Source organism: Homo sapiens, chromosome 2, assembly GCF_000001405.40.
Source record: "Homo sapiens chromosome 2, GRCh38.p14 Primary Assembly".
Taxonomy (NCBI): Eukaryota; Metazoa; Chordata; class Mammalia; order Primates; family Hominidae; genus Homo; species Homo sapiens.
Window position 1 is genome coordinate 164,912,772 of NC_000002.12, and position 24,700 is coordinate 164,937,471.

Here is a 24,700-nt window from a genome sequence, read left to right on the forward strand (position 1 = left end):
TCTTATTTAGAGACTATATTTCTCAACTGTCTATGAAGAAATACAGGGATCTAACTAGGGCACAGATGTCATGTCATCAAAAAACAATTACCTACAACTGTACAGTAGTCCATGGAAGAAATAAAAAAAATAAAAATATAACAATGACTAATGCCGAAACAGAGTACTTGGGCTTGCTGATTTTCTGTATATAACGTGCTTAAATGTTAAAATTGTGGTAACCTTTTTAAAATTAAACTTAATTGAAAATTAAATTTTTTTAAGATCAATACTCAATACTACACCATTTAAAAAGAAGAAAAGCTATAATACCTCTGTACTGTTTTTTTCATTACAAAGCTGAATATCCTAAATAATTTGCCTCTTCCCAAGATTTACTTTAAGTGGCTCTCACCCCTCCCCCCATCAACTAGAACAAATCTACATTACTTTAGAACATCCCTTTTGGGCAGGAGGGGATTAAAACACAAAGTAAGGTGGCAGAAACCTGCTTCAAGGTTGACTGAAAAGATTCCAGCACTCTAAGAAAAAAGGACTGAAGTTCCCCGTTCACTAACCTCCACTAAAAAAATGAGCCCTATTGTCTTTTCGAAAGTCACTAGAAATGTCGAGGAGAATCTAGAGTTCCCACCGCCTCTCAAGCTGAAATTTATCTACTGAAAGAGGTTAGAAAAGAAGAATGCAGTATGCACAAATTAGACTAGATTTACCTAAGGAGAGGTGGCCTGGAGAAACAATGTCAGCTTATTGCAGCCTGAATCTAAGTTGTATTTTAAAGAATTACAGCTAGGGGGAAAACGGCATTAAAAACCTGTCAGCTTTGTTTTATAAAGATTTAATTATATCTGAGCAATTACCACTGATAAAAACTCCAGGAAGATGTAACTAACAAAAAAGGTTATGTCTTACAGAAAAGGCATTTAAAAACCAAGGTCCTGTACAGACCAGAGCCCATAGGCCATTTGCATTGGCAAACTATGTAGCAATAGTGATACATAGAAATGCTTTGGAACACAATTCTTATCAGAAGTTTCAAGGTCACTTTGTTACTGCACTCTAGTGGCACAGGCATGTATTATATTTTTGACTGCATTTGAATTTTGTTAATCATTATTTTTTGAAGCCATCTTTCTTCATTTCTTGAGAAATATTTGCCTAAAGTCATAGTGATCTGTAACCTCTGTTCAGAATAAGGCAGCCATCCTCCCAAGAGCACCCAGGTTTTCAGAAAACTAAGCTAATGGGAGCTAGAGGCAAAGGGACAACTTTCAGAGGGTCATGGTTGACCAAAACAGGGCAGGCAGAAAGAGGATGGAAAGAAAACTGAACTTAAGAGTCAGAAGACTTGTTTTCTGGTTTGTCATCAGCCAGCATGAGCAAGTTACTTCACCTCTTTGTGTTTTAATCAGGGGGTAAAACTAGTTATTCCACTTCCCTTCAAAGGGTTGTCTGAAGGTCAATGAGATAATAGACCTGCAAGAGCTGTGAAATATGTAAATCACAGCCTACTGCTGGACTGCCCTGACTACTACACTACACTGATGATTGAATGTAAGGGTCAAGGGAAGTAGAAGAGAGGACTGCTCAGTTGCTGGGCCTGGGTGAATGCAAAAAAAGAGAGAAATATCTTTGGAGGGAGGAAGAAAAGGTCTGGTTTTAAGGGAAACATGATGTTTTGTGATTAAGACAAATATAGAACAACTGAGTAGAAACGTCCTACAGGCAGCAGGTTGGAGACAAAAAGAAAGGTCTGGGTTAGAATTAAAACAATGAAAGTACCGGGAAATTTTTTTGAGAGAAGAGAAAACAATATGCTTGAGCCCGTTATCTGGGTGGTGTGGGATGGAGTGGAGTGGGGGATTAGAGAGGGTAAAGAAAAAGAAAACAGAAAAAAAATTAACAGAGAGAAAGAATAACAATGATAATATAATAATACTCTTTCCTCTAAGGGAGGAAAATTTGAGCAAAGAAAGGAAGTTCAGTATTGTTAAGTGATTCAGAGAGATTCGGGAGAATCCAAATCGAAGCTATTTGCTCTGAAGATTGGGAGGCCACTGGTACCTTTGAAAATGAAGCTGCAGTGGAGGAAAGCCAAAAATCATGTGCTAGGAAGTGACAGTGTGTGGAAGGAGAGAGTATGGGCTACAGAACTAAATTGAGCAGTTTAAAAAGGTAAAAACTAGGAAACAGACAGCAGGGGGGCAGGAGGGTAGAGAGAATGGGTGGAAGAGAGTAATCTTTGAAATAGAACACTGGGCATACCTGTAACAATAATGAGTAGAACATTCGGTATACCTGTACCAATGCACATGAACACTATAACTGAATCTCTCATTTTACCTTGGGTGAAGCCAGTAAATGTCAAGTATCCACATGTAGCAAAGAATATACAGATAAATACAGAAATCACGATGGACATATGGATAAGGCGGGACCACTTAGCTACTGTGGGTTCTTCTAGAGAACTGTAAACTAAGAAGGAGTTATGGTGGCAAATAAATGCTGCAATACAAAAAAAAAGAGCATTATTAAATCAAGCACCAGGGTTTTCTTTTTTAGTTCTGAAATTCAGAGATATATACTACTTTAGATGCCAATGAACTGAAGTTTAAACATACAACTTTATTAATATGTCAGAAAATAATTTTTCTAATAGTTCTAGAAATGAGACCATTCATTCACATCAGGCTTATGTGGTCTTTTCATGTTACTCTTGATATAAACCAGGCCAGTCCAACATTCTCTCTCATTTTCCTTTTCCTAATGACCCTTCCCATCTGAAGGAAATCTTTTTCCCATCGTTTTCATCCTGTGGCTTCCTTTGCCATTTGGGACATAATAAAGGGTTTGAAGAAGTCCATAACACTTGCTAGCCTTCCAAGTTAAGAAACAAGATGACTGTAATGAGTTTCTGCATGAGAAATAGATTTCTCCAAATTGAAGCAAATTTTAGTGATGAGTGAGAAAAGTTTGAGCCTAATTTTATATTGGCACAAACTAGATCATATGCTGCTAATAGGAAGTCTAAAACTTAGGACATCTGCTATCCAGACATAAATATGAAACACAGCACTTTTTCATGGAACAGAGAACTCCACATTGAGAAAGGGCCTTTGAAACCAAATACTCACCAAAAGACATAACCCCGACCGCTTGAATGGCATTGGGCTTTGCAAATACCCAAGCGTCTTCTGTTTTTGGTCTAGAAGAAAAATCAGTTAACTTGATAAATTGTTAAATAAATACAAGCATCAGTATATCAGATAACAAGAAATGGTATCACAAATATAAACTGAGTGTCTTTAAGCCAGAAATTAATAAGGGGCTCCCATTAATCTTGTGTAATCATGAATAAATTTCCCAGGAGCATGAGTGTTATCTCTTAACCCCAGTCCTCTAAAATGTATGTCAAATACTTGGACAAATTCTATTTTTACATATGTAAAATATCCAGACTATGTAATTTTGTGAATTTGTTTATTTGCTCATCAATTTAACAGACAGCATTGATTATGCACCTACCAGTTCAGCTACCTTTTGAGGGAGATACAAAAATTAACAATGCCCAGTTACTGCTGTTCATTCCGCTCTTATTTTTTTCAGGCTTAACCTACCCAAGAAAAATTTAGTCAGCACTAAAATTTATTGAGAGAGGTAAACATGAACTAATACTAATTGAGGATGTACTATCTTCTAGAAACTCTACTGTGTTATCTCATTTAATTTTCAAAATAACACTTAAGTATTATTATCACCATTTAACACATGAAGAAAATCAAGCTCTGGATGGTGATATAACTTGCCAAGCTTCCACAAATAATTAGTGAAGAAGTTGAGATTTATCTTCCTGGTTTATTCACTCCCATGTTTTTTCCAGGCAGAACCATCTGACAGTGGCCTCAAATTCCCAACTGTAGATGTATTTCTCAAGGGAATTTTGGAAATATATGCACTTTAAACAGCTTGAAACAGGCTACATCCTAGTGGAATTAAAATATTTGATATTGGCAGTGATAGGTCTACCTGGCTAACACATCATGAATAATGATGAACAGCAGAGGCTCTAAGGTCAGTTAGCTTAAATTGTTCTTCTGGCCTCCTTCCACTTATTAGCTGTGTGATTTTAGGCAAGTTACAGGACCTCTCTGTGCTTCAATTTCAACATTTATAAACTGGGGATAATTGTAGTATCTAACTCATTAAGTGACTGTGTAGATTAAATGAGATAAAATATGTAAAACTTCTGGAAGAGAGTTTATCACATAGCACATGTTCAATAAACAGTTATTAGTATTAATGTTATTATCCAGCATTATTAATAAAGGCAGCAAAAAGTCTAAAAGTATGGCCAACTTCCCTGGGAAGGGAAGGCTTGAGTAAGACTCAAAACAATGCATGAAGAATGGAACAGGGATATTCCTAGGAAGCATGAAAAGGCGCTGGGTATTTTCAATAAAAAACAGAAATTCTAAAGATGAAGACCCATCTATTTCATAAGTTTGTTTATTCATCCTCTATGTAAAGAAGGTACATACAAAAAAATCTTGTTTGTTGTCCACACTTTGTGGGATTTATGCATTATATCATCCTTTTTCCCATATATGAAACGAGCAGTTACAGACACAAAGAAACTTCACAGAAAGGCAGGCCTGCAAGAGAGGCCACAGATTGTTATAAGACTTGCTCCAATTCCCAGTTTTGGGAGTGGGAACTACTGCCACCTGCTGCCTCCACTACTCTAAAAGCAGTCGACATTAAAAGCAGCATACCTGTTAAATTCCAATGTTAATGTGGAAAAAATACATATTTTGTACATGATCCTTAGAAAATGATTTCAGTCAGGCAGCACTAACAGTTGTAGAAACTTGAGGATTCTCTAACTTTGCAATATGCTTTAAATGGTATGCTTTCCCTCTTATGGTTTTTGCACTTGGAAAATATTCACCCTTACTCCCCAACCCTAGTACAGATTGTGGTGGTGTCCTACTTTTTAAATCTTATATTAGTAATAAAATGTAGAAGTTTCATTTTCATTTTTTCTCTTCCATTTAAATTTTTTCCCTGGGTCCATATGGTTCCTTGGGTATATTCCCGGAGTGTGAAACAATACCTAGAGATAATTTTGGATTTTCTCTGTTCATCATAATGATGATGATTTTATAAGATGGAAAGTGCCAAAAAAGATGTTACAGATAGGAAAATGCATATGTCTAAATCTAGGGAAAGAGAAGGAAACAGATATTGAATATGGCTTTCCAATCATTTATAAAATAGCCTAGGATTGAGTTCCAGATACAATCAGTTGTACAGGAAAAAAAAAAAAGAGAGAGAAGAAAGTTCTCGGGTATATTTTATGAGATTGCTGAAACTTTGATACTCAACCTGGATGGAAACATAAAGTTATAGACCTTTTGACTTTAAACTGTAAATGCTGAAATATGAAATCAAATGCCATCAAGCAATTTATAAGATAAGGAATTATGACTACGAATATTTTTTCAATAAATGCAAGGGGAGTTTAATAACAAAATATTAATATAATCAATATTTATTAATAGCTGTTATATTAATAGATATTGGTGTAATTTACCACATTAACAGATTAATGAAGGAAAGAAGCTTATGACCATTTCAAAATATATAGAAAAGCATACAACTCAGTATTTATTTTGAAAAACATGGTGAGCAAACTAATAATAAAATAGAACTTCCTTTACTGGATAAGGAATGTCCACCAAATCCTATAGCAAATGGCATATTTAAAAGTGAAAAGTTAGAAATACTCTACTTAAGGGATGAAACCAGATAGGATGTTCAATATCACTGCATCCTGAATATATTATTGATATTCCTAGCTGATTCAATAAAATAAGTGATGTGTAATCATTGAAAAGATTGTGTAAATTATTTGTACACAACATAATTACACATATGGAAAATTTATGCATATGGAAAATAAGAGTATTCAGCAAGGTTACTGGATACAAGTTCAATACACAGAAAACATCAAGTGGGCTGATGTACACAAACAATGACCAATTAAAATGTTTTTTTAAGTGGCAGTGACAACAAAAACACTAAATACTTTAAAAGATGTGCATGATTTTAACGTCATGTTAAACTTTTATTGAAAGACACAAATAAATGGAGAAATATACCATATCCATACACACAAATGGGAAGACTCAATATCATATAAACATCAATTTACCCCAAATTAATTTTTAAATTCAAATAATAAAATACAGAAAAAAAGAAATCAAAGAATAAAATACAATATTGAGGCTGGGCATGATGGTTCACGCCTGAAATCCCTGCACTTTGGGAGGCCGAGGCAGAAGGATTGCTTTGAGTTCAAGACTGGCCTGGGCAACACAGGGAGATCCAGGCTCTACAAAAAATAAAAACATTAGCCAGGCATGATGGTGTGTGCCTATACACCCAACTACTCGAGAAGCTGTGATGGGAGAATCACTTGAGCTTGGAAGGTTGAGGCTGCAGTGAGCCATGATCACCCCATTGCACTCTAGCTTGGTCAATAGAGTACGACCCTGCCTCAAAATGAATAAAATAAAATAAATAAAATATTGAAGGAGGAAAAGAAATTTAAAACTCAAAAAAACCCCATAATATTAAAGTTATAATAAAGATAAACAATAAAATCAATGGAAGGTAAATATAAAACATCCATATGATAAAATTATTTATATACACATTTAAAAATACAAAGGTAAGCTAAAAGCTGGAAGATGACATTGGTCATGCATACACAGTTGTCCCTTGGTATGTGGGAGGGATTGGTTCCAGGACCCTCCATTGGATATCAAAAGCCATGGATGCTCAAGTCCCTGATATAAAATGGTTTAATACTTGCATATAACTTAAGCACATACTTTTATATAATTTAAATTATCTCTAGATTGCTTACAATATCTAATACAATGTAAATTCTATATAAATAGTAGTCATACTGTATTTTAAAATTTGTATCATTATTGTCATATTGTTATTTTTAATTTTTTTCCAATATTTCTGTCCACAGTTGGTTGTGTCTGCACATGCAGAAGCTGTGAATACAGAGGGCCATGATCAAGAAATAGTATACAGTATATACACAGTACTCCCCCCTTATCTATAGGGTGTATGTTCCAAGATATAACCTTGCAAGGTATTCTATTTACAGCCTAGTGTACGCCCCCTGCCCAAATGAAATAACTTCCATAGACCAGGCGTGGTGCTCACGTCCGTAATCCCAGCACTTTGAGAGACTGAGGGAGGTGGGTCACAAGGTCAGGAGTTCGAGATCAGCCTGACCAACATGGTGAAACCCCGTCTGTACTAAAAATACAAAAATTAGCCGGGTGTGGTGGCGTGGGCCTGTAATCCCAGCTACTCAAGAGACTGAGGCAGGAGAATCACTTGAACCTGGGGGGTGGAGGTTGCAGTGAGCAGAGATTGTGCCCCACTGCACTCCACTCCAGCCTGGGTGACAGAGCAAGACTCCGTTAAAAAAAAAAAAAAAAAGAAAGGAAGGAAGAAAGAAATAACTTTCCTAAGGCAGAAAATATATTTTAAATAAAATGTTTGAATTTTAACTTAAACCCCCATGCAAATTAATAATCAAAAGTTAAACTTGGACACCCAATTAAACATGTGTAGATGGGCCACATAAGTTTATCTTTTCTTTTTTCTAAGACCCCACTAAAATGCTACTAAAGAAATTTAAAAGAGGAATAAATTCATGAGGGAGAGGATAGTGGGAGAAGAGATATCCGAGGAGAAGACACTCTATGAAAACGAAACTGGATACTTCTGTGATGACTATTGAGAGTAGAAGATGTTGCAACCATGTAGAGGGAGCTCATGATGAGAAAGAGGTGATTCACTTTACAAAACCCCTGTGTGTGCAGGACTCAGAGATACCAGAAAGCTACCGAGAATGCTCCAACAAAAGGAGAAAGGAAAGAAAACGGAAGATCTGGGATCATGGATAGAGGGTATACAACACAAAAAGGAGGTAAAAGGAAGTCCTAGGATGATCATGGGGGAGCAAAGTGAGAAAGCAATCTGTCTAGAATGGAGGGCAGAGCTGAAGGCTCTGGGATGGATGTGTTCAGGAAAAATAATAAAATTATAGATTATATGTTTGAGCATCTGGAAAAGAAGTAACAAAAATGATCAAATTCAAAAGCTAAACTGGACATCCAGATAAACACAAAACTGAAATCAAGTGGTAATTGTAGAGAAAAAAAAAAGGAAAAGTGTACAAGAAGAGAAACATAAACTTAATTTTAAAAGTTGTGGTATTCTCCATGTATTTAAGAAGAGGAAAGATAGCTTGAGAGAGCTAAATCTTCATCTACTGTAAGAGAAGATAACAGTGAGACACCAAAAAAGGCACTTAGACTCATATTACTTAGAAATAGAGATGTGAATGCCAAGAGATAAGGCTTAAAGGGTTGAAATAAAAAAGGTTTTGGTAGGAGGCTACTCTATTTCATTAAAAGCCATTTGTAATCTTTGATTTCATAAAATCAAGTTAATAAATTTTATTTTATTTTACTTTATTTTATTTGTGAGACAGGGTCTCACTGTAACCCCAGGCAGTGGTGTGATCATAGCTCACTGCAGCCTCAAACTCCTGGCCTCAAGAGGTCCTCCAGCCTCTGCCTCCCAAGTAAGCTGGACTATAGGTACATGCCACCACACTTGGCTATATTTTTAATTTTTTTTTTTTTTGTAGAGGTGGGGGTCTTGCTATGTTGTCTAGGCTGGTCTTGAACCACTGGTCTAAGGGATCCTCCTGCTTTGGCCTCCCACAGTGCTGAGATTACAAGTGTGATCCACCTCACCTGGCCTGTGAATGTATTCTTTTGAGAAAAATAAACACGTTGAATAAATGCACATAAAAGTAACATTGAAAAGAAGCAGTATTCCTTACAATACCTTAGGAAGCTTTAAAAAGATCTAGGCAAATAATGGTTACTGTAAAATTTAGATCATTTTAACAGCAATGATTCGTGTTTCAAAATATTTTAGTACTACCAAAAATAGGGACTGGCTTATAGCAGTTTGTAGCCTTAGAACAGCAAACACTTTTACAATTAATTACTTCCCTTACCCTGGAAAATCTAAACAAATGCTTCATTATATATTTTTAATAAATCGTTTGTGTTTATGGGGGTTGTGGTTGGAGATGGAGAGCTTTGGGGAGTTAAATTCATTTTGTAATATTGTCTCAGTTTGGATTCTTGCATTCTGAAATTTTATCCTGGTTTGAAAGACAAACTCTTATCTTTATAACAGGTGAATAACAATAAGGCAATGTAGAAGAAAGCAAGTCCCATCAAAGGGAGCTCCAGTCTCTATAGACTGATAAAAAGGAGCCTCAGAACTTAAACCTCTGGATCAGGAGAATCAAAAAACATCATGCCTCTCTATGATACCCGCCCAAACTCTTTCAGCTAAACAGAAGCACTTTCAAATATACAATTCCGGCAGAGTCTGCATTTTTGTTGTAAGAGCCTCATGTTTTTAGTCAGACACATCCGGGAGTTGAGTGCTTTGGATGACACAAAACAAAGGCTCCATGTTGCCTGTCACACCACAAGCTATTAATGACAAGCAGATCTGACCTCTTCCCCCAGCTCCTGCATCCACTGAAGGCTCTGTCACTTCCTCACTCTCAGCTCACTTGTATTCTGATTCTGTTCTATAGACAAAACCTTGGTTTACATTAATATATAAAGCTGCTCAGGAGAATCCTTCTTAGGAATCACTCTGAACATTAAAACTGATTCATTTAAAAACGCACACCCACACAAATGGGAAAAGCAGTCTTCGCTTGCGGATTGGAAGAATCAATATCATTAAAAGAACTATACTACCCAAAGCAATCTACAGATTCAACACTATTCCTATCCAACATCATTTTTTAAATTTAGAAAAAAACTATTATGAAATTCGTATGGAATGAGAAAAGCCCCATTAGCTAAAACAACCCTGAATAAAAAGAACAAAGCCAGAGGCATCACATTATCTGACTTCAAACTATATTATGAGGCTACAGTAACCAAAGAAGCATCATACTAGTACACAAACAGACACATAGACCAATGGAACAGAATAGAGAATCCAGAAATAAAGCCACACACCTACAACCATCTGGTCTTTGACAAAGTCGACAAAAATAAGCAATGGGGAGAGGATTCCCTAGCCAATAAGTGGTGCTGAGATAACTGGCTAACCATATGCAGAAGAATGAAACTAGACCCCTACCTTTTTCCATATACAAAAACTAACTTGAGATGGATTAGAGATTTAAATGTAAGACCTCAAACTATAAAAATCCTAGAGAAAACCTAGGAAATACCCTTCCCGACATTGGCCTTGGCGAGGAATTTATGGCTAAGGCCTCAAAAGCAATCACAACAAAAACAAAGACTGACAAGTGGGACCTAATTAAACTAAAAAGCTTCAGCACAGCAAAAGAAACTATCAACAGAATAAACAGACAACCTACAGAATGGGAGAAGATATTTACAAACTCTGTATATGACAAAGTTCCAATATCCAGAATCTGTAAGGAACTTAATTTGACAAGCAAAAACCAAATAACTCCATTAAAAGGTGGGCAAAGGATATGAACAGACATTTCCCAAAAGAAGAAGACAAACAAATAGCCAATGAACATATGAAGAAATGCTCAACATTACTAATTATCAGAGAAATGCAAATCAAAACCACAATGAGATACCATCTCACACTAGTAGAAATAGCGATAATTAAAAAGTAAAAACAAACAACAAACAAAAAACAGATGCTTCCAGCCTGGGCAACGTAACTGGGACCCCATCTCTACAAAATAAAAAAAAAATTAGCCACGCGTGGTGGTGCACACCTGTAGTCCCAGTTACTTAGGAGGCTGAGGTAGGAGGATTGCTTGAGCCTAGAAGGTCAAAGTTGCAGTGAGCCATGATTGCACCACTGCACTCCAGCCTGGATGAGAGAGCAAGACCCTGTCTTGAAAAATAAAAAAAAAAAACAAATGTTAGTGGGGCTGTGGAGAAAAGGGAACACTTATACACTATTGGTGGGAATGTGAATTAGTGCAGCCACTGTGGAAAGCAGTTTGGAGATATTTCAAATAAATTAAAACAGAACTACCATTCAACCAAGGAGTCCCGTTACTGGGTACACACCCAGAGGAAAATAAATCACTCTACAAAAAAGTCACATGCACTTGTATGTTCACTGCAGCAGTACTCACAATAGCCAAGACGTAAAATCAACCTAGGTGCCCATCAACAGTGGATTGCATAAAGAAAATATGGTACATATACACCATGAAATCCTATGCAGCCATAAAAAAGAATGAAATCATGTCCTTTGCAGCTACATGGATGCAGCTTGGAGGCCATTATCCTAAGCAAATTAACACAGGAACAGAAAAGCAAATGCCATATGTTCTCACATATAAGTAGGAGCTAAACATTGGGTACATGTGGATATAAAGATGGGAACAACAGACACTGGAACTGGGAATACAGACTACTAAAGAATGGAAAGAAGGAGGGGGCAAAGGTTGAAAAAATACCTATTGGGTTCTCTGCTCACTACCATAGTAATGACGGGATCATTTGTACAGGTGACTGGATCACTTGTACTCTAAACCTCAGTGTCATCCAATAAACCCATGTAACAAACCTGCACCTGTATCCCCTGAATATAAAATACAAGTTGAAATTATTTTAAAAGTATATATTCTAATTAGTTCCTGTACATCCTGTAAGAAAAGCTTGATGCAAATCATTTCTAATTAAAAAAGACAATGGATCAAATATTCATTAAACCAAAATAAACTCTTCAAAAATAAACTTATTAAAAAGCTGATTTCTAGTTAAAATTTACATAAAACTTTATGGTAATTTTTTGCTGAAATATAAATTTTATTTATTATTTATTATTTATTTATTTATTTTGAGATGGAGTCTCGCTCTGTCGCCCAGGCTGGAGTGCAGTGGCGCAATCTCGGCTCACTGCAAGCTCTGCCTCCTGGGTTCACGCCATTCTCCTGCCTCAGCCTCCCGAGTAGCTGGGAATACAGGCACCAGCCACCATGCCCGGCTAATTTTTTGTATCCGCGCCCAGCTAATTTTTTGTATTTTTAGTAGAGACGGGGTTTCACTGTGGTCTCGATCTCCTGACCTCGTGATCTGCCCGCCTCAGCCTCCCAAAGTGCTGGGATTACAGGCGTCAGCCACTGTGCCCGGCCTGAAATATAAATTTTTAAAATATGAATCATATAAAAAGCTAGCCCAGCTTGGCACCATAAACATCACAAATACTTCATTTTTGCCATTTGGGACACCAGTCTCTTTTAATTCTTATTCTGTCACCTACTGGGCGTTCTCTAATTCCTCTGTTAATGCTTTAAAATTGGTGTTAACTGTGTTTACCTCTGTGGGTTTGGATTAAAAGGGCAGAGTATAGGTGGGAGGGGGCAGGATTTCACTTTTTTAACATGATGAAAACTTGTGAGAATTATGGGTGTCGCTTTGGTTCTTTGTTGTGCTTTTTCACAAAACAGAATTAAAATATCATGTGAATTTAAACTAAAAATAAATGTAACTTCAGATGTGATGTCCAGATAATTCTTTGTCACTAGGGTTCTACTTGGATTGTGCTTCTCTTCACTTTATATGCAGTCCCTGTACAGTTTTCCACATCACCCTCTCCGAAATCCAGACTTGCATTTCCAAAAGATTGGGTGACTTCTACTCCTCTTCCCACAAGGATCCCACAAAATGAGGATATATTTAAAATATACTATATATTTTTTCCAGATCATCTTCCCTTCCTATCCTGGTAAATAACATAAAAGAAGGTAGACCTCTGTATGTCTCCCTAGCAGCGTATTCATAATTCTATTAAATAGTCCACTGAGGTTATCTCTTATGTGATCTTTGCCCCACTCCACATTCTAATAAGCTGTAAGAGGTCTTCAGAAAAGGAGTGTGATATATTGGTCTTAATAGCCCCAGTACCTAGAAGAGTGACTTACCCAGTAGACATTTAATAAGTGTTAGTTTGCTGGCAGACTCTTCTATTTTATTCCTTTGGCAGTGAGTTCTGGGCCATCTACCCATATAGTTCTCCAAGCTGGAAACTTTGGTATCACCCTAGGTAACTCCTGTACCCTTAGTGCCTTCATTCAATCAGTCACTAAGTTCTCCTGATTTTACCAGCTTAAAATTACTTGAGCTTCTCCTCCTCTTCATTACCAGTCTTATCCTTATATCATTTCCACTGGAAAATGGAATCCTTTTGCCTGGATGCTTGGTTTGCTATAGATAGCCTCCTTCCAGGTCTTTATATTCCCATCTGTCCTTGCCTCCACTGGAAGAGAAGTCCAATTAAAATTGAGACTCGATCTAGTTACTCACCTGTTTAAGAACTTTCAATGCCCTATCAACTAAAGAACAAATCCAAGTTTCTCACCACCACATGTAAAGCTTTCCTTCATCTTCATCTCTGCCAAACTCTCTAGGCTCATTTCCTTTTATACACTGGCACAGCTTTCAGCTTAGAATCACCAAAACCCTAGTTACTTTCTAAATACAGAAGCTGTATAGCTTGTGGTGATAGGGAAGTCAGGATCAGTGGGTGCTATGGTTTAAATGTTTGCATCCCCTCTAAAATTAAGGTTGAAACTTAATCCCCAGTGAAACAATACTAAGAGGTGGGGCCTCAAAGGTTTATAAATCATGCTGCTATAAAGACACATGCACACGTATGTTTACTGCAACACTATTCACAATAGCAAAGACTTGGAACCAACCCAAATGTCCATCAATGATAGACTGGATTAAGAAAATGAGGCACATATACACCATGAAATACTATGCAGCCATAAAAAAGGATGAGTTCATGTCCTTTGTAGGGACATGGATGAAGCTGGAAACCATCATTCTGAGAAAACTATCGCAAGGACAGAAAATCAAACACCGCATGTTCTCACTCATAGGTGGGAATTGAACAATGAGAATACTTGGACACAGGGTGGTGAACACCACACACCAGGGCCTGTTGTGGGGTGGGGGGAGGGGGGAGGGATAGCATTAGGAGATATACCTAATGTAAATGACGAGTTAATGGGTGCAGCACACCAACATGGCACATGTATACATATGTAACAAACCTGCACGTTGTGCACATGTACCCTAGAACTTAAATTATAATAATAATAATTAAAAAAAGAGGTGGGGCCTTTAGGAGGTAATTAGGCCATTAGGGCAGAGCCCTTATAGATGAGATTAGCACCCTTATAAAAGTGCTTGAGGAAGTGAGTTCAGCGTCTTTTTGTTCTTCCATCCCTTCCTCCTCGTGAAGATGCAGGATTTGTCCCCTCCAGAGGAAGCAGAGTTCAAGGTGTCATCTTGGGAGCAGAAAGAGCAGCCCTCTCCAGACACTTTCAAATGCTAGTGCCTTGATCTTGGACTTCCCAGCCTCCAGAACTGTGACAAACAAATTTCTGTTCTTTATAAATTACCCAGTCTGTGGTATTTTGTTACTGTAGCATAGAAAGACTGAGTAAGAACAGAACCAATTTCAGCAGTTTTTCAAAAGAGATAATATGGAGATATGACACTTGGTAAAACTATGATAAAATGCATTTGAGAAGCAATGTAAAAAAATGGTTTTGGAGAAAATTATCAAAGGAGGGCCTTTATTTTTATATGGTAGCTCCCCCAGCGAATGGCAAAGTATCCCTCTTCTCCAAGTTCTTCCTAATGTTAGAACTTCAAACTTCATCTGCTGTTATATGTATCTCATCTCTGCATCACACACATTTCTGCCAACAGTATCTTCCAACCTGTCCCTACCAACTTCCCGTCCCCCATGTCCCTTTTTGACTCAACTTATGCTTGTTTATTTTTTAAAACAAAAAGCCATGTATTTTCTTATCCTGAAATATTACCTGCCTGCACAGGTTAGGCTAAGGACCCTTCCTCTGTTTCCATAGCACTTACTCATAATTCTATTACTTATTATATTGAGACTGTCTTTCATAAGTTTGTTCCACAAACTATAAGGATCTGAGGTCAAGGACTGTGCTTTCTTCATCTTATAGTCCCAGTACCTGGAAGAGTGACTGGCATCAGTTAGACATTTAATAAAATGTTATTGGTTCAAAGAACAGGTTCATCCATTTGTGGATGGATTCCATTTATAAAATAACTAATGGTGGGTGAAATAAGTACTTAATATTGAGGAGCCTAGGCTGTTCCTCTAGCTCCACTAACACAGGGACTGGACTAATCCTCCCTGAGCATATATTATCTTGCAAATATCTTTCCTATTTTTATGTAGACTCAGATAAAGCAATAGTTCTATGCATTCTTTCATGTAGGCAATCTTCCTGGTAAAACATACCACTAGCTCTAACAGTGAGTGTTGCAGAGCCTGGAGTCAATTGGTATTTTAGCAAATTAGTTAGCAAATTTTACCAGCATGAAAGTAGCCTTAGGCAAATTTTCTTTGACAGTGTTTGTATGAAATTTTTATTTGTCTCAAGACAATGTTTTATTGTCTCATTACTTCAAAATTTTGGTCAGTTAATCCCCAAGTTGAATGGGCTAAAACCAGAAGGCACATAGATTCATTCATGCATCCAGTTGATGATTCAGCAATTCTTTGCTGAATTCTAATTCTTTGTTAGACACTTTGCTGAGTAATGGGTATATAGTGTGAACAAAGCAAATGTAATCTCTCTTCTCACAGTGCTTACAATATAGTGAGAGACAGAAAATATACATAGAAGAAAACACACAGAAGATAACTAAAGATAATTTAACAAATACATTATTATTTTATTTCTATGTGTAGATCCCTTCTCACTTCCTATGGTGAGACCAATAGGAAATTTAACCAACCAGAATATTCATGTTCTGAACCTACTCCTATTTACCGCACTCTCAGATAATCATCTCATCTTTGAAAAAATATAGGTTATCAGGCATGAATACTCAAATTCCCTTCACTGATCTTTAGAATGTGTTCACAATTTACTCCTTATATTCTTATCCTATTGTTTCAAAAGGACAAAGTATCTTAGCTCCTCTCCAAGATCACCCTAACTGTATCCTAAAGTCTAGCCTTTCATCATCTCATGGAGGACTTTGGGTTCTAAGTTTTGACTTAGTCTATGTCACATGTTCAATATATCCCATGATAAAGATGGTATTTTTTTAGAGCTCTTACTCTCTCAAGCCACTGTTTTGCCATGTTACTTTCATTCATAGATGTTCTTCATAAAAGAATAAGAGAAGGGCAGAGGAGGGCAAAATAGGAAGAAGGATATTCCAAATTCACTTTCCTATCACTCACTTACATCTTAATTTTCTCTAACCTGGCTTCCACCCATACCATTTGATTGAAATTCCCATCACTGAAGTGGACATATGTAGTTTGCACCCTGCAATGGCTACTCCGCCTTCTGTTGGCATCACTGTCCTTTGGGATACCCTTTTCCCCATTTTTATTTCAAGTGCTTTAGTTGGGTTCATCCTATCCCTAGATCCAGGTGTGGGCATGTAACCTAAAGGCAAACAACTCAATATAGGCCATGATGATAGGGTCTGTAATCATCATACATCTTTGTTATAGCCAATCAGAACTAATTCTGTGAGTGAAGTTGGAGGTACCTTAAAAGAGAAAATTCTTTCTCTTTCTATGGACTTGAACTTGAATTGATGTAGGTTGAGATTGCTGCTACCATCTTTCAGGGAGAAAAGCTTTCAGAAACTACAGCCAAACAGGAAGCACAGACAGATGGTAAAAGAGAGACGATGTCTGATTTCATTAATTGAGCTCTTAAATCCAAGCATACCTAATAATAGGACTAACCTTGAACTTACAGTTAAGGGAAGTAAATTCTCTTTTGCTTCAACCAGTTAAGGTTCTGTGCTTCTTTACATTTGCAACATAAAGGATGATAATTTATACATCATCAAAAAATTCAGTGGCTCCTCATCAAAAAGTTAGAAGGATCTCAATTTAACAACCAAACATTACAAGTAAAAGAACTAAAGAACCAAGAGAAAACCCAAAAGCTAGCAGAAGACAAGAAATAACCAAAATCAGAGCTGAAGGATTTGAAACACAAAAAACATTCAAAAGATCAATGAATCCAGGCGCTGTTTTTTTTTAAAATTCAAAAATAGATAGCCAGCTAGACTAATAAAGATGAAAAGCAAGAAGATCCAAATAAATATAATTAAAAACGACAAGGGGAATATTACCACTGACCCCACAGAAATACAAATAAAAATTAGAGAATATTATGAACACCTCCATGCACATAAACTAGAAACTCTAGAAGAAATGGATAAATTCCTGGATACATACACCCTCCCAAGACTGAACCAAGAAGAAACTGAATCCCTGAAGAGACCAATAATGAGCTCTGAAATGGAATCAATAATAAATAGCCTACCAACCAAAATAAGCCCAGGACGAGAACGATTCACGGCTGAATTCCACCAGATGTACAAAGAAGAGCTGGTACATTCCTGCTGAAGCTGTTCCAAAAAATTGAGGAGGAGGGGCTCCTCCCTAACTCATTCTAAGAGGCCAACATCATCCTGATACCAAAATCTGGCAGAGAAACAACATCAACAAAAAAAAAACTTCAGGCCAATATCTTTGGTGAACATCAATGCAAAAATACTCAACAAAATAATGACAAACCAAATCCAGTAGCACATCAAAATGCTTATCCACCACAATCAAGTAGGCTTTATCCCTGGGATGCAAGGTTGGTTCAATATATGCAAATCAGTAAATGTGATTCATTGCATAAAAAGAACTAAAGACAAAAACGATATGATTATCTCAATAAATGCCAAAAAGGCTTTTGATAAAATTCAACACCGCTTCACGTTAAAAACTCTGAATAAACTAGGAATTGAAGGCACATACCTCAAAATAATAAAAGCCATCTGTGACTAAACCACAGCCAACATCATACTAAATGGGCAAAGGCTGAAAGCATTCCACTTGAAAACCAGCATAAGACAAGGATGCCCTGGCTCACCACTCATATTCAACATGGTACTGGAAGTCCTGGCCAGAGCAATCAGGCAAGAGAAAGAAATAAAGGGCATGCAAATAAGTAGAGAGGAAGTCAAACTATCCCTATTTGCAAATGACATGATCCTATATCTAGAAAACCCCATAGTCTCAGCCAAAAAAGATAAGCTGATAAACAACTTCAGCAAAGCTTCAGGATACAAAATCAATGTATAAAAATCACTAGCACTCCTATAAACCAACAACAGTCAAGCAGAGTGCCAAATCAGGAAGGCAATCCATTCACAATTGCCACACACAAAAAGTACCTAGGAATACAGCTAAGCAGGGAGGTGAAAGATCTCTACAATGAGAGCAACAAAATACTGATCCCCCACAAAAAAAAAAAAAAAAAAAAATCAGAGATGACACAAACAAATGGAAAAAAAAAATTCCACACTTATGGATAGGAAGAATCAATATTGTTAAAATGGCCACACTGCCCAAAGCAATTTACAGATTCAATGTCATTCCTATTGAACTACCAATGACATTCTTCACAGAACTAGAAACAACTATTTTAAAATTCACATGGGACCAAAAAAAAGCCTGAATAGCCAAGGCAATCCTAGGCAAAAAGAACAAAACCAGAGGCATCACGCTACCCAACTTCAAACTACACTAAAGGGCTACAGTAAGCAAAACAGCATGGTTCTGATACAAAAACAAACACATAGATCAATGGAACAGAATAAAAAGCCTAGAATTAGGGCTGCACAGCTACAACTATCTGATCTTTGACAAATCTGACAAAAACAAGCAATGGTGAAAGCACTCCTTATTCAATAAATGATCCTGGGATAACTAGCTAGCCAAACGCAGAAGATTGAAACTGGACCCCTTCCTTACACCATACACAAAAATTAACTCAAGATGGATTAAAGACTTAAATGTAAAACTCAAAACTATAAAATGCCTGGAAGACAACCTAGGCAATACCATTGTGGACATAGGAACGGGCAAATATTTCATGACGAAAATGCCAAAGGCAATTGCAACAAAAGCAAAAATTGACAAATAGGATCTACTCGACCTGAAGAGCATCTGCACAGCAAAAGAAACAATCAACAAAGTGAACAGACAACCTACAGAATAGGAGTAAATTTCTGCAAACTATGCATCTGACAAAGGTCTAATATATAGCATCTTATAAGGAACTTAAATTTACAAGAAAAAAATAAACCATTAAAAAGTAGGCAAAGGACATGAACACTCTTCAAAAGACGTAATTGTGACCAACATTCATATGAAAAAAAGCTCAGCATCAATGATCATTAAAGAAATGTGAATCAAAACCACAATGACATATCATCTCACACTAGTCACAATGGCTATTATTTAAAAAGTAAAAAAATGACAGCTGCTGGCAAGATTGCAGAGAAAAAGTAACACTTATACACCATTGGTGGGAGTGTAAATAAGTTCAACCATTGTGGAAGACAGTGTGGTGATTCCTCAAAGATCTGAAAAACAGAGCTACCATTTGACCCAGCAATCCCATTACTGAGTATATACCAAAGGAATATAGATGGTTTTATCATAAAAACATGTAAATGGTCACAATAGCAAAGACATGGAATCAACCTAAATGTCCATTAATGGCAGACTGGATAAAGAAAATGTGGTACATGTACACCATGGAATACTATGCAGCCATAAAAAGATCATGTCCTCTGCAGGAACGTGGATTGAGCTGGAGAGGGCATTATCCTTAGCAAACTAATGCAGGAAAAGAAAAGTAAAGAACACATATTCTCATTTATAAGCGGGAGCTAAAAGATCACAACACATGGACACAGAGAGGGGAACAACACACACTGGGACCTATCAGAGGGTGGAAGTTGGGAGAAAGAAGAAGATCAGGAAAGATAACTAATGGGTACTAGGCTTCATACTTAGGTGACGAAATAATCGGTACAACAAACTCCCATGATACAAGTTTACCTATATAACAAACCTGCACATGTACCCCTGAACTTAAAAATTCAGTGGCTAATATTCGTCAGAATGAATCATTTCTTTCCTTAAATATGTAGCCTTCCTCTGTCTTTACCCATTTTTAAAAATCCTTTTCTTAACCCCCTCTAGTTCTTCTTTATGTGTAGCATAAAACTGCAGAATTCAGGGTTTGAATGTATAAGGGTTAAGGAAACTAATGTGCATTGAGATTAAAATTTAAAGTATGGACTCACTTTTTGGAATTTTGTTTAGAATACCACACGATTAAAATGCTGTAAGAAAGATGTCATATGAGGGGAAAATAGTTGTAAATTTGGACTGCATGTTATAATTTCCATTCTGAATGTAAAGAATTGAATATTAATAAGGCATTAAATGAAGGGTTTTTTTTTAACAGTGATAATGCCTCTGATTCTAGTTAGAAAAAAATTGGGAGAACTGTTATTGTATTTTTATACTAGCACACTTTCTGAAAAGCAATTAAATTTCCTTGCCACCTCAGTTTTTAGAAAGCAAAAGGTTAGAAAATACCATAAATCTGAACATAATTTCCAAAAAACCTGAAAGTCATTGGACTGTGAGATATCTGAAATCGTATCAAAAAGTAGAATTTATGGCCCTATAAGTTATGGAAAAGGAAATTGAATTGTATTTTATTTTTAAAACATAACCACTAAAATGATGTTTCCATAGTAACAAGGTCAATACCAGTAGCCATTATAGACCTTCCCCTTTTCTGATAGTGGGTTTAAAGATCTTTTTCAAACACCACTTTAAAAGACCTATGAAAAAACCACAGGTTTTCTGATCATTCATCTGAACCGAAAATGAAGAAAACCACACATGGAGTATTGAATTTCTCATGTTTTATGGATTACAAGCATTCATCGCTGTCATATTTTCAGAAAGAAGCCTGCCTGACTAGCTACCATGCCAACTCCTGAACTTGGGATTTGATTAGCCTGATTGTAAATCAGGATGAACAGAAGTTGTTTGCAGTAGTATTCAAACAGACATAAAAGGTGGCACAGTATTAAAAAACATACTTCTTTAACATCTAAATATTGAAAGAGTTAAGTAAATAATCCTTGCTATTACATTTCAAAGGCTCAGATAAAATATTGTATCACTACTAGAGGAAGGTCAGACAGATGTAGGCCACATTTTGTTGACAACAGAACTAAATAGCTATTTGGCCATAAAAATCATTTCATTGAGCCCCACCAGGAAGTGGACTGCCCTTCCTTTTTTCTCTATATCAAGGCACACTGCTTATATGATAGTCATTTGTATAGCTTTGTCTTCTTCACTAAACTGCGAGCCCCTTAAAAGCAGAGATATTTTATTTCTCTATGTATTCATGACAGTATTTCACATGACACTTTGTACATAAAAAATACTGAAAGAAACAAGCGGAGAATGCATCATGAAAAATGATCACAAAACAGTAACTAAAATAACACAAAATCTCTGGTTTAATTTTAGAAACAATGTGTCAGTTAAAAATATGTACTCATTATTTTAATCTCTTTAAACCAAGAGGCTTTAGAATCTTTGTTCATAGAATCTCCAATGGCGAAATAATGAATCCAATTGCCTGGCCCCTAGATCAATTCCTTCAGAATCTCTACAGGTGGGGCTCTGGCATCAGTATTTTCTAAAGTTACTCAGATGATTCTCATGTGAAACAAGTGTTGAGAATCATTGCTTTACACTGTTCTCCCGTGGTGCAACTGAGGATTAATTTACTTCCTACTTTAGCTATGTTTCCCCCTCAATATTGCCTCATAATACTATATTTAGCAAACCTATAAGAACTTTTATTACAACCCAGTGATTTTTTTCCCTGTAAACACTTTTTATAATAAAAATTATCAATTAAAACAGTTTGGTCTTACACAATTAAAATTTTTAGCCCAAATTATCATTTATGGTATTCTGTTTAATATACTTATTAGCTTTCTGTTACTGTGAATTCAGCTTCAAAAACCAGAGCTGAATACAGTACCAACATAACAGACACTAAATAAATATCAGTAGAATCAGTATAAATATCAGTAGAATTAAGTATACGTTTTTGTGCTTTTATACATACTTTTCCCTGAGTCTGTAATACATACAGACTCATACCCTCTATGTATCTGGAAAAATTGCAATTCTTCTTTTAAAACACACAAAGCATATTTTTCTTCCTCCAGGAAACCTTCCCTGATGGGGATAGATCATTAAGCACCCGTTACTTTGGCACTGTCTCGGCTTCCCTTTCATGTTTCTGCTTTGCACTTATCACCTTGTACTGTCATTGATTTTTCTTCTTTTTTTTTTTTGGTTTTAAAGTAAGCCCTTTGTCCATTGTTGATTGTGAATAATTGGCAGCAGGTGCTAATTCAGGCCTCTCTCTGCTTTTTCTCTCAGGGCACAACACAATCACTGGAAACAATAGAAACTCATTAAGTGTTTACTAAAGTGAATGAATAAATGGCCATATTGAAGTGAAACAGGTGCATTTCAAAACCACTAATGTAGGCCAGGCATGGTGGTTTACACCTGTTAATCCCAGCACTTTGGGGTCTGAGGCAGGAGGATTGTTTGAGGTCAGGAGTTTGAGGCTGGCCTGGGCAACATAGTGAGACTCCATCTCTACAAAAAAAAAAAAAAAAGAAAGAAAGAAAAAATTAGCCGGATGTGGCACATGCCTGCAGTCCCAGCTACACAGGAGGATGAGGCAGGAGGACTGCTTGAGCCCAGGAGTTCAACCTGCAGTGAGCTATGATTGCACCATTGCACTCCAGTCTGGGTGACAGAATGAGACCCTGTCTCTTAAAAAAAAAAGTAAAAACAAAACAAAAAAACACTAATGCTATGAATTGAATTGCGTCCCTCCGAATTTATATGTTGAAGCCTTAACTCTCACTGTGCTGGCATTTGGAGTTGAGGCCTTTGGGAGACTTTGAGAGATAATTAGGGTTAGATAAACGCATGAGGGAAGGGTGGAGCCCTCACTCTGGGACTGGAGCCCTTATAAGAAGAGACTTCTGAGATCTTGCTGTCTCTCTCTGCCATGTGAGGACACAGCAGGAAGACTGCCCTCAACAAGGCAGGAGGATGGCCCTCACCAGAACCCTATCATGCTGGCATCCAGATCTCTGACTTCCAGCCTCCAGAACTATGAGAAAATACCTTTCTGTCATTTAACAATACTCGGTTTATGTTTTTTTGTTATGACATTCTGAGATGACCAATACAACTGTGAATCAGGATTAAATTATTTGAAGAAAAAAATAATATAAATATTACAGATATTTATGTTTTCTCTCCTTTATTTCAATTCTTTAAAAATAGGCGTTTGCTTTTTCAAAGAAAAGGCTATATCAAATGCACTTAGACTGGATATTTAACAGATATTTCATGATTTTCCCCCAATTAGCTTGAGGCCTTTTTTTTGGTATTTTCCTGATAAACTAAGAAGTCTATCAGTGGAAAATGAATTAATTTTGCAAAGCAACAATTAATCAAGGAGAAAACATAAATTACCTTGGCCACTGCATTAACAATTAGGGCTATTCATTAGGTTTCCTTTTACATTTTTTCTTACAGATGCCATTCATTAAAAACCCAGTATTCCTTGCATTGTGCTAAATATTACATCTTAAATTAATTTTTCTTTGCCTCTTTAGAGAAAACATTTAAGGTATCCTGGAAACTCTTTAATGCATTATTTATTTATTCAACTAATATTTATTGTGAATTGTGGAAATCCAATTCAGTGTTTAAAGCCAATCTAACCTGGTTTCATTCTAGCATTTTCTTGGGACTGTGACTATAAACTGCCCAGTCTGTATCTGGGGAATCTACTATATAGGCAAAGCATACAAACAGTGTAGTTTAGATTGACAATACACACACTTTAAAATTTCATGAATGAGTAACATTTTTAAAATTGGGGGAACTAATACCAATTTGTCAACATTTTACCTCACCAAATAATAACATTAAAAAGAAACAAACACCACTATCAGTTTTTATCCTTAGTTCACAAATGATGTAGTATTTTAACACAAAATAATTAAGGAAAATAATCAGAAGAGAATAAAGGATGGTTTTCAAAGTGTTCACATTTTGTTTAATGGATAAAAACATCCACTATATCTCTTATTCTTTTTATTTCAGTCTAAACTACTGAAACTTCGTTCCTCTTTTCAACTATTCAAAATTCATTTCTTATTCTAATTCTAATTCTTTCTTACTCTAATTCTTTGGGACATTAAAATAATAAGTAAACCTGGTTTAATTCTATCAGCCTTGTAGGGTCCAAATGAAAAATGCATGTTTACTGACCTGTAATTATTTTACCTCATTTTGTCAAATACCAAAGATAAATGATGTTTCTGATACCATGGTTACTTTATATTTCTGCATTTATGCCATCTAAATATCTATGTGGAGGCTATAAATCAAAGACTGACAAATATAACAACATAACTTACATGTGTGGACCCAGTGAAATTGCCCTTGCCATTACAATTCCAAGAATCAGAGTTGTTAAACCTGTAGAGATGAGGGAGACCTGTAAAAGAAAATACAAGGATATTGCCGGTTTAGGACAGAA

At 36.4% G+C, this 24,700-nt stretch overlaps 1 protein-coding gene across 6 annotated transcripts in view, besides 1 other annotated feature; it reads right to left on the reverse strand.

The window, feature by feature from the left end:
- The window catches only part of SLC38A11 (solute carrier family 38 member 11), a 61,172-nt gene that overhangs the window by 18,418 nt on the left and 18,054 nt on the right, over positions 1-24,700 (reverse strand). For all 6 annotated transcript variants that reach the window (NM_001351540.2, NM_001351539.2, NM_173512.3 and 3 more), the window contains 3 exons: positions 24,579-24,658; positions 3,132-3,202; positions 2,341-2,502 (listed from right to left, as the gene is read on the reverse strand). In NM_001351540.2, the coding sequence (NP_001338469.1) occupies positions 2,341-2,502; positions 3,132-3,202; positions 24,579-24,610 (265 nt within the window). In that variant the 5' untranslated portion in view covers positions 24,611-24,658. The remainder of the gene's footprint in view (positions 1-2,340; positions 2,503-3,131; positions 3,203-24,578; positions 24,659-24,700) is intronic.
- Positions 173-689: an enhancer, noted in NCBI's record as "NANOG hESC enhancer chr2:165769454-165769970 (GRCh37/hg19 assembly coordinates)". NCBI's record gives its function as "activates a minimal SCP1, AML or CMV promoter by ChIP-STARR-seq in primed H9 embryonic stem cells {active_cell/tissue: H9 hESC(primed)}" and the evidence as "EXISTENCE:reporter gene assay evidence [ECO:0000049][PMID:30033119]".